The sequence below is a fragment of the Homo sapiens genome, chromosome 16 (genome assembly GCF_000001405.40).
Source record: "Homo sapiens chromosome 16, GRCh38.p14 Primary Assembly".
Taxonomy (NCBI): domain Eukaryota; kingdom Metazoa; phylum Chordata; class Mammalia; order Primates; family Hominidae; genus Homo; species Homo sapiens.
This window is the reverse complement of record NC_000016.10, coordinates 13,551,941-13,563,275: the sequence shown is the minus strand read 5'-3', so window position 1 is coordinate 13,563,275 and position 11,335 is coordinate 13,551,941. Positions and strand designations below refer to the sequence as shown.

Genomic DNA, 11,335 nt, shown 5'->3' with positions numbered 1-11,335 from the left:
TATAGTTCAGAAGATGCAGCGTGTAGTATTCATCCTACTGACAATACAGCCAGTAAAATGTCCCCCTGAACTTGTGATTTCCACCACATGCAAGGAGCTGTTGTGCTATCAAAGCTGTTCTGCTATCCTAATGCTCTTCTGCTCTTAGATTCCATGACCTCATGCATTTGAGGAATATCACAGACTCGCCTCTCTCTCCTGAGAAATTCACAATGGAAACTGACATATTAATGCAATGAGAGTCCTATGACAGAGAAACACGATTAACACGCAACTCCTTTAATATGAAAGAACACTTTACGTTCCACCAAACGAGTGTTCTGCAGAGCATGTTTTAAGAAACATTGGTTTACAGCTTTTTTTTTTTAATTTTTATTTTTTGGTTTCCCTATCGAGCTTTCAGTTCTTGTGCATTTCTATGAGTATATTAATAAGAAACCAAGCCACGGAGGGCAATTTGTTTTAGGTGCATCCAACAGTCTGGTGGATTTAGCCTTTCTTCTCCGTAGCCTGTGAGTCTGGCAGGTTTCCAACCATAGAATCCTTCTTCTGCCTCCATCGTAAGGTTGCTAGATAAAAAAGGTAAGACACGTAGTTGAATTGGAATTTCATATAAGGAATGAATCTTTTTTTTTTTTTTTTTTTTCAGACAGAGTCTTGCTCTGTCACCCAGGCTGGAGTGCAGCAGCATGATCTTGACTCACTGTAACCTCAGCCTCCCGGGTTCAAGAGATTCTCCCGCCTCAGCTTCCCGAGCAGCTGGGACTACAGGTGCCTGCCACCACGCCCATCTAATTTTTGTATTTTTAGTAGAGATGGGGTTTCACCGTGTTGGCCAGGCTGGTCTCGAGCTCTTGACCTCAGGTGATCTGCCTGCCTCAGCCTCCCAAAGTGCTGGGATTACAGGCATGAGCCACTGTGCCTGGCCAGGAATGAATCATTTTTTAGTCCATACTTACACTGCATTTTCATTTACTAAATCAGGCCACTGTATCATTAGCGTGGATGTGCACTCCAAGGCTGGCCAGTCATAGAACCCAATTTCTCTGATTCATAATACCTGTTCCAGGGGTTTCTGTCCTACCCAAGCTAGGTTAATCAGACAATTTCCCCTGCAATTCCTGATTAGGTGCTGGAAGGAAAAAGGATTTACTTTTCATGTCAGAAAGATGCAAGACTGTTAGTCAGTGACTGAGGACAACCATCTTCCCCTCAATGTGGAGAAAAGTTGTCCCTGGAAGGTGAGGACAAGGCCATCACCTACAGAGAAGCAAACCAGGAGTTAAAAAGAGACAGAGCTCTCACAGTCTCAATGATGCCCCTGGATCCACTCCTGCCTAAAACTAGTCCTATCTTTAATTTGCCAGCTATACCAGCCAATACAGCTGTCTTTTGCTTTTTTTTTTCTTAAGCTAATTTGAATTGCAACCAATATGGAAACATTATCTGGCACCTCTTTTCTGCTGTCACATTCCTACACATAATTTAACACTTATTTACCATCTACTCTATTCCAGGGCTTGTGCAAGCAATTCCCCTAGTCCATCACCTGGCACGTAGGGCCACACAGGTCACTACCTTGACCTGCATGGCACCGCAGACTCATGGAGCTAGCACTTCCTCCAGGGGCCCTTCCACCCTCAGCTCCCCACACCTCGCTATTCTGAAGTCTGGATCTGAGCAGAGTCCTGAAGGATCAGCACGCTTTGGCACAAACCCCAAGTAAAAGTAGCGGAAGTGATTTTGCTGTAAACCCTCTCCCTCCTGACAGCTATCAACGGAACATGGAGAGGTTCCTGCCCACGGCTTGTTTCTCACTTAGAATGCTTCACAGTAGAGTAGCTCTCTGACAGCAGCACGAGAATGAAGTTATGGGAATCTCTCTGGGGTATTGTAATGGATGCGGGGCCAAGTCTTCCTAGTTGGAGATGCTGCAAGTTATGTAAGAAATGCAGAGTGCCTTGTCGGGAGGAGACCACTGATTCTCTCAAAGACAGTCACTGGAAAAAGCCAAACGCTTCTAATATTCTGGGACTAATAACTGCCAAAGGGTTCATTGAGTGCACATTTCTGTCCCTAGTGTACATATGATATTCAAAAAGATGTTAAGGCCAGGCGCGGCGGCCCATGCTTTTAATCCCAGCACTATGGAGGCTGGCTGAAGCGGGCAGTTCACCTGAGGTCAGGAGTTCGAGACCAGCCTGGCCAACATGGTGAAAACCCATCTCTACCAAAAATACAAAAATTAGCCGGGAGTGGTGTCGGACGCCTGTAATCCCAGCTACTCGGGAGGCTGAGGCAGGAGAATCGCTTGAACCCTGGAGGTGGAGGTTGCAGTGAGCCGAGATTGTGCCACTGCACTCCAGCCTGGGCGACAGAGAGAGACCCTGTCTCAAAAACAAAACAAAACAAAAAAAAGTTGTTAAGAATAAATAACACAGAAACAATGTTTTTGTTCTGGGACTGACATGGCCGTGACATAGCCTCTTCTCTTCTCCTTTCTGCTTTTTTTTTTTTTTTTCCTAATTTAGTGCATTTGGACAGATCTTCTCTTTTTTCATGTATCTTATGAACCAACTGTTATGAATTACCTGTGAGCTATTTTTGTGGATGAGGATTAGGAGTTTTTCACCTCTGTATCCCTAGAACCTAGCATGGAACCTGGAGCAATAATATGTGCAGCAATAAATTCTTTAAAACAATTAACAATTTCTCAAATCTCTGTTCCTGCATTGGAAGTTCGTTGGAGGTGTCTGGCCTCATACGTCTATATAGTGTGGAAAACCATTGTTTCTTGGTATTCATTCCCCTCTCCCGTCTTTCTACCATCCCTGAATTTCGATAGAAAATTCTTCAGGTGCTGATACCAATACTTAGCTCCATGATTAGACCATGTGATCCTGCTCAGCCAATCAGCAGCTTACACCCTCCTGGCTATGGTGATTGGTTCAGGGGTGACCACATGACTTAAGCCAGTCTAATTACAGTGAATCTCAGGTGAGAATCTCCAGGTGGGAGTGCTGGACCATAGAAGCTCTTTTCTTCTGAATGCTGTGTTGGGAAGATACTAAGCCTTAGACTCCTGTACACAGTTTGCTAGTGAGAGAAACCAAATCGAGCTAAGAGATTTGCAGAAAAGCAGAGCTGCAAAACTGCTACCCCAATGCTATTTTCAATCCACATTTGAAATTCACCCTAATTCTGGACTTCTCTGTTGCCCAAGTCAATGAATTCTCTCTCTTGTTTATTTTAAAGCAAGTTTATCTTTTCATTACTTGGAACATGAAGTCTTGACTGATAAACAGAGTTCCTCTTTATTCCCCATTAACTTTTTCCTGAGAGAGCTACTGCTGAAAATCAAGTCAATCTTTCCAGTTGATGTGACTGACTTTAGCTGAAGGTGCAGTCTGCCTTTTCATCTTCTAGGAATATCCCCTACCTTTTCTGTAATCCAGCCTGTCAGCATTTATTGAACAACCACTCTGTTCTAAGCCCTGAGCCAGATGCTCTGAGACATCCCAATAATAACAAAGATCATGTCTGTAAGGTGCTGGAAATATAGTAAAATGGAATGGCTTAAGAAATCCATGCTCAGCTGGATGTGGTGGCTCATGCCTGCAATCCCAACACTTTGGGAGGCCGAGGTGGGAGGTTTGCTTGAGATGAGGAGTTTAAGACCAGCCTGGGAAACACAGAGAGACCCTGTCTCTAGAAAAAATATATATATAAAATTAGCCAGACATGGTGTCACATGGCTATAATCCTAGCTACTTGGGAGACTGAGGTGGGAGGATGACCTAAGCCCAGGAGTTTGAGGCTGCAATGAGCTATGATTGTGCCACTGCACTCCATTTTGGGTGACAGAGCGAGAATGTCTCTGAAAAAAAAAAAATAGAAAATGCAGAAAAAAGAAAAAAAAAATCCATGCTTGCTTTGACCCCAGTTTGCTGTGTGATCTTGGGCTAATCACTACCCTTCTCTGGGCTTTAGCTTCCCATCTACAAAATGAGGGCAGTGGTTGACAGTTCTCTAGAATCGTTTCTAGCATTCACATCCCACATCTCTGTGTGCAAATAATTTAAATAAACTCGATACTGTGTCTGGTCAAAATAGATATCTTCAGGCTTATTTATGTCACCAATATTTGTTAAGAGTGTATATATTCTAGGAGCTAGAGAGAAAGTGGTGAACAAAACAGAAAAACACCTGCTTTCTTGGAGCTTACATTGTGGTGGGGAAGGCAAATAATAATTATCTTTGTAAACTATAAATTGATCTTCATTATTCCCAGACTCTGTATTTGTGAATTTGCTTACTTGCTAAAATTTATTTGTAACCCCCGAATCAATACTCGTGACACTTTCACAATCATTCACAGAAATGTGCAGAGCCCTGAAAAATGTTAATCAGGTGATGAAAACATTCCTAGCTTAGGGGAAACGGGGCAACACTCTGCCATCTTGTTTCAGCTGTCATACGATAAACAAATATCTTTTTTTGTAGTCTGTTTAGTGCCATATTTGTCACATTTGTGTGCTTTTTCTTGGTGACTTTGCTGTTTAAAATTGTTCCCCAAATAAAGTGTGGAAGTGCTACCTTGTGTTCCAAAGGCTGTGACATGCCTGAAGAAGGACATACATGTGTTGGATAAGTGTTGCTCAGGAACGTGTTACTGTACTCTTGACTGTGAGCTCAGTGTTAGTGAATCAGTATATGTTACATAAGATGCCTTTAAACACATATATACAAAAAACAAGGTTATGCATTGATTGATTGATAAAAATGTTGTGGTCAGAGGCTTGCAGGAACCCAACCCTGTATTTCTCTTAGGAGCCATGGCTCAGGATTGGCTAATTGGGAGTTGGTGGTGACTTTACTGAAAATAACAAGAAGTGACTATGTACAATGTCACTTTCTTGTTATTGATAAATAAGCCTGAAACTATGTATTTTGACCAGCACAGCATCAAGCTTATTTACATTATTTGCACCCAGAGATGTGGGATGTGAATGCTAGAAAGGATTTTAGAGAATTGTCAACCACTGCCCTCATTTTGTAGATGGGAAGCTAAAACCCAGAGAGAGATAGTGATTAGCCCAAGATCACACAGCAAACTCGGGGCAAAGCAAGCATGGATTTGGTAAGAGCTGTAGAAAAATGCAAAGCAGGGAAGCAGAAAAGGAAGTTTATATTTTATTCTTTTCAACTTTTAGTTTAATTTTTTTTGGTCTCTGTCACCCAGGCTAGAGTGCAGCAGCACAGTTATAGCTCACTACACCCTTCAATTACTAGTATCAGGTGATCGGAAGCCTATAGTTTAAAAGGGTGTCAGAAAAGTGTGTCCATGCAGAGGAAAGGGCAAAAATGAAAACCCTGTGGTGGGAGTGTGTTTTCATGTTTGAGGAGCTGCCTGAGGCTGCGGTGGCTGGAGAGGAGTGAGCCAGGGGGACAGTGGGAGAAGATGAGATTGATGAGATGGCGAATCTTGAATGACAGACCTGCACAGTCACGTTCATCTCCTTCCTGGGTAGAGATTGCTGGGAGTTTGAGAGGCTCTTTCTTGTTGCAAAAGTCCTTGAACTTGAGCAGTAAATTATCCTCAAAGTTCCATTAGCGCACCTTGGCGTGGTTCTCTCCTCGGATGCCCTGTGCCATGTTCCTCCTGAGAAGTGGCTATAAATAACCTGAGATTCTGCTCCCATCAGGGAAACAGTGCCTGGAGTTGTCTCCCGGACACATTAATAACCACCCTCTTCTCGCCCCCAAATTAATCTTGCTATGAGGCAGCTTTGCCACGGGTGTCTTCTAATCATCATTTATTCCAGTACTCAAATGTCCTGTTATTCACCAGGCTGAGCTTCTCCTTAGTGGCGTTAAAGGGACATTGGGTTTGGTTGAAATTCCAGGCAAATACCTTTTTCAGACAAATGCATTGCATGGGAATTTGTAGATTGTATTTTTGGTCTAATTATCTGAATTCATCTCTATGATGGATACTTGATTATATGTAATTTGGGCAAATTTTATGCAAAACCTCAGATTCAAGAAGAGTGCAAGAGATTTGAATTCAAATGTTTCTACCTCCTTAGGGGAGAGGAAGGAAGAGGGAATTAACACTTGTTGAAGAATATTCTGTTTATTCACTTATTCTTCATTGATTATTTCAATATTTATTGAACACTTACTATATGCCAGGCACTGTTTTAAGTGCTGGGAATAGACTAGAGTACCAAACGGTACACTCCCAAGAAAGTTACAGTCACCCCTCAGTACTGGAGGGGATTGATTCCAGGACCCCAGGATATATCAAAATCCACAAATGTTCTAGTCCTTTATATAAAATGACATCGTCTTCGCATGTAAACTATGTATATTCCATATACTTTAAATCATCTCTAGATTACTTATAAAACCTAATACAATGTAAATGCTACACAAGTCTTTTTATACTGTATTGAAAAAATTTGTATTTTTTTGTTGTTATATTATTGTTTTTATTTTTTATTTTTCAGAATATTTTTGATCTGTGATTGGTTGAATCTGAGGAGGGAGAACCCACAGATATGGAGGGCTGAGTGTTTGTTTGTTTGTTTATTTTATTTTTTATTTTTTTGAGACAGAGTCTCACTCTGTCGCCCAGGCTGGAGTGCAATGGCGCGATCTAGGCTCACTGCAAGCTCTGCCTCCCGGGTTCACGCCATTCTCCTGCCTCAGCCTCCCTAGTAGCTGGGATTACAGGCACGTGCCACCTTGCCCGGCTAATTTTTTGTATTTTGTTTAGTAGAGACGGGGTTTCACCATGTTAGCCAGGATGGTCTCGATCTCCTGACCTCGTGATCCGCCCGCCTCGGCCTCCCAAGCTGATTGTTTATTAATCAATTAAGTGAAAAGCGGAATGATTCACTAGTTAAGGCATGGAACTCTGGAGTCAGACTGTGTTCAAATTCCAACGAATCCTGGCATCTACTAGTTGTATGAACTTGGGCAAGTCATATAACCTTCCTGTGCCACATTTTCGTCTGTTAAATGGGAAATAATAAAAATACCCGAGTCACCACTGATTTAGCAGAATGACTTAATATTTAACATGTTTAGTACAAAACTGATTGATGGTGTGTGGTGAGAGAAATAAATAAACACACGTCCTGAAGGAGGAACTCAGGGAGATTTGAAAGGGTGGAATCGGAAAGTGGCTTTGTCTGGTTAGGCTAAGTGCTTTGCATAGCTCATCTCATCTACATCTGTATAATCTCAAGCCCGACCATATTTTCTCTCTTTTGTTTTTCTAACAAATGAGGAAACTGAGAACCAGCAGTGTGAGGTTGTTTGCCACTGAGCATATAGAGTAAGATCTGAGTAGCAGAGTGAGGAACTGAACCTAGATAAGATTTGATTCCCCAAAGTCCTACCTCCCCAGGCCAAACTGCACTGTGGGGCTGAGAGGTGGATAGTTATTTTACCTGTAAATACAAAATACCTTTCCACTTCCCTCCATCTAAGTAACGTGGGACAAAGGGCCTCAGGAAGAGAACAAGGGAGTATCAGTCTAGTAGGTAGCCTTAAAGCTCAGTGGGGCCAGTACTCGCTGTATGCTCCACTATGACAAATGGCCACAGTATGTTTGCTTGCACTTTGGGTGGAGTGGGGAACTTGCTACCTCCCCAGGCAGTCCATGTTATTTGCAGACCTCTGGGTTTGTCTGACACGCTTGTTGTACAAGTTCTCTCTCTTGCTCATTTTTAAACCAATTCGATTGCTTGTTCATTCAAAATTGTTTCTTCTCATGTAACCCCCACGTATCCTTTGTTTTCCTGGTATATAAAGGAACTACCAAATGTTCTCACATTTCGGTGGAAGAATGTGCTGTCTTTCCTCTTTTATTTTTTTGGAAAGCTCTGAGGAAGGTTATACCATCTTTATTCATTATCAAAAAACGCTTCTATATGGAAGTCAGGATTAACGTTTATAAGCCCAGAAAAAATGTTGTGTTCATGATACAGTTTTGTACAGGTAGGTTATTTCAGGGATAATAATAGTTAAAATTTATAAAGTGCTTATGATAACCAAGCACTGTACTAACAGTCTATATAGGTTATTTGCTCATTTAATTCTCTCAACAACCCTAAAGACTTTCATCCTCTCTGACTAGATTTGGAAATTAGGGCTGAGATAAGTCAGGTTCCTGGTCTTAGTTAATACTAATTATATACCAGAAATCTGATGTTTGAAGTTAATAGAAAGTCCAGTTCAAGTTGCCTTGAACGTCAAAAGGGATTTATTGATTTGAGTAAATGAATATTCCACAAGGAGATATGGCCTCAAATGGGATTTAACCCAAGGCACAGGGATGTTTCCCATCTCTTCTCTCCACCTTCTTCTTTTCTTCCTCACCCTAACAGCAATGCCCCTCATGATTCAAAATGGCTGCCAGGAGCTTGCAGGAGTCCTTTGTATTTCCCACATCTTCTTTTAGATGCAACCTGGGGCATTAAGAAAACAAATGAACTGGGCACGGTGGCTCTTTGGGAGGCCGAAGCAGGTGGATCACCTGAGGTGAGGAGTTCGAGACCAGCCTGACCAACATGGTGAAACCACGTCTCTGCTAAAAATACAAAAATTAGCTAGGTGTGGTGGCACATGCCTATAATCCCAGCTACTCGGGAGGCTGAGACAGGAGAATTGCTTGAACCTGGGAAGCGGAGGTTGCAGTGAGACAAGATTGAACTACTGTACTCCAGGCTCCATCAAAAAAAAAAAAAGAAAGAGAAGAAAAGAAAAAGAAAAAAAAAAAGGAAACAAATGTGAGAGTTCTTGTGTCACAGAGATTTTACCATGATTTTTTTCATTAATTTATAATAGAGTATTTATAGCAAAAATAAATACCAGACTTGTAGCATATAAGTCCTCTGTTTCCTTATCCCCATGCCCTTCCCTGTAGTTATCTCAGGTAGGCATGAAAGGTGTTTTTTTTTTTTTTTAATCTCTAGCAACTAGATCTCCTCTCTCATTGGCTCACATTTTATTAGGTTTGAACCAATCAGAATGGCTTCCTGGAGTATGTAGCTTGGTTTAAGCCAATCAGAGCCCACCCCTGGAGGTGAGGAAGAGACTCTGTATGTAAGAGGCAGAAGATGCCCAGCCAAAACCTGTGCTTTTTATTACCAAGAGGAAAAAGGAATAGATGCTAGTTATTTTTTTTTATACTTTTTACTTTCCCCCCAAAATAGAGGAAGCATATTCTCCCAGAACACTCATAGTTGTGGTCTTGTGCTATTTTAGAGGACCTGGTGCATGCTAGATTTTAATAGGATTTTATTTGTAATCCTTTACAGCCGTGACTGGTTTATTTTGGGTCACAATGAGATGTGGATCATCATCTGGTTTGGATTCTGATGTTTCTGGGCCTCCCCAGTTGGAAGATTTTATGCAGCCCCTGTAATAGTGGAAAATATGCTCAATTGTAAGGAGTTAATTGGCGCTAACTAAAGCACAGTGAACAGTTTGGTGGTGATTCACAGCGAAGGGATGGTTAAGGTTTAACAATGAAGCCACAAGAAATTTTCTTTAGAATTCAGTTGCACGATTTTTTTTTTCTTTTTTTTTAAATAGCAGCTCAGTTATTCAAAATCATTGTGCCTGGCTCACAAGCCAGGAAATGCTCAAATGAAAGCATGTGTTTCGGTTCTGGAGTTCCAATCTAATCTTTTCTCTCTGCTATGGTAGTGGTATTTTAGACCTGGTGAGCACTTAGGCTTTAAGTCACATGGACACAAGATCGAATCCCTGCTTTACCTTTTTGCTAGGTGGGCCTCTGTTCTCCCACCTGTAAAATGGTAGTGGTTAGTGGTAGCTACTGTAGAGATTTGCGGTAAAACTTAAAACAGATCATGTAAAGCACAGTGCCTAGCGTAGAATGAGATAGAGTGTTCAATAGTAGTTGCTAATATTGGAAGTGGTAATAGAAGATGGTGGAAAAATATGTGTCATCTTAGTCAAGTAATCTGCCCTCTTGGTGCCTCAGTTTCTTCACTTACAGAATGGGGAAATGAATAGTCCTACTTTCTGGAGTTGTTGGGAAGAGCAAGTGAACTAAAACACATCATTTAATGCTTGGCACATAGCAGGTGTTCAGAAAGCAGGTTGTGGTCCAGTGGTTCTCAGTCAGGGGTGTTTTTGTCCCCCAGGGGTCATTTGGCAATGTCTGGAGACATTTTTTGTTGTCACAATGGATGGAGGGTGCTACTGGCATCTAGATTGCAGAGGCCAGCATTGTGGCTCTATATCCCACAGTGCACAGAACAGGCCCCCACAACAAACGATTATCTGGCCCAAGAGATCAATAGCGCCTGTGGTTGAGAAACTCTGCTATAGTCAACAGCCTGAACATGGTCATCTTTTGCTCCTTTTGTGGCTTTTGTAACTTCTGCTTCCCACAGAGAATTGCTCCCTTGGGACAGAGGCCAATTATTAGAAGTGAAGAGAGCTAGCCTGACCTTGTGAAGTGGGTCTGGCTATTCTCACTTAAAAAAAAACTGTTTAAAAATAAGGCTTTAAAAAAAATCTCATTATTCTAAAGCACCCCAGGCTCCACCACCCCCTGGGCCGGTCTTTTCAAAGCCAACCTGGCTTTAAATAGCAGCGTCATCCGTTGTGACCTCGAGCAAGTTGTTGCTGTTTTTATCCTCAATTTACTCAACTGCGAAATGGCGATATTAATACATTTACCTCCAGGGTTGTTGCAGGGATGAAATCAGCTAAGGTAACAAAAGCACTTGCCACAAAGCCCGATACCATAGAAGGTGCATGAAGACCACTGCCATGTCTTGGTGGTTGCTGCCTCTGAAATGGCATCGTGACACCTGCCCTTCCCACCTCGGTGGAAGCTTAAAAATACAAACGGAACATAGACAGGAATGCATTTCCTCCAAAGTCAAAAGAAAGCACAAATGGAAGGGTGTTGTTAATATTAATTTGTGGGATGATGGGGAACCACCGGGGAGACTCCCTCTGGTGAGGATTTCATGAATTTCAGGAGAGCAGATCCAGCTCCCTGCAGAGCCTGAGCTCCTCGCTCTTGGTTTCTCTGCAGAGATGAACACAGACCTCTCATTCTGGAGAAGCCTGCATCTTATTTTCTGACTACTTCACTTATTCCACTACAACTGATTTTCTATTTTCTAGCAGAAAAAACACAAAGCTGAAGCAAAATGCGTCCCCACCTCTTTACCAATTGTATTTTTTTTTCTTTTCAGATGGAGTCTCGTTCTGTTACCCAGGCTGGAGTGCAGTGGTGAGATCTCAGCTCACTGCAACCTCCGCCTCCCAGCTTCAAGCA

The 11,335-nt window shown here is 42.1% G+C and overlaps 1 protein-coding gene across 2 annotated transcripts in view; it reads right to left on the bottom strand.

Annotated features, from left to right (window-relative positions):
* Positions 1-258: 258 nt before the first annotated feature.
* The window catches only part of SHISA9 (shisa family member 9), a 661,420-nt gene continuing 650,343 nt past the window's right edge, over positions 259-11,335 (bottom strand). Inside the window, exons 6-7 of one of the 2 annotated variants that reach the window (XR_007064905.1) lie at positions 10,726-10,883; positions 8,914-9,433 (exon numbers count right to left, since the gene is read on the bottom strand). The gene's annotated coding sequence lies outside the window, so the exon portion shown is untranslated. Of the gene's footprint in view, positions 570-8,913; positions 9,434-10,725; positions 10,884-11,335 lie in introns of those variants that run through there. The other variant, XR_932915.3, reaches the window with a different exon arrangement.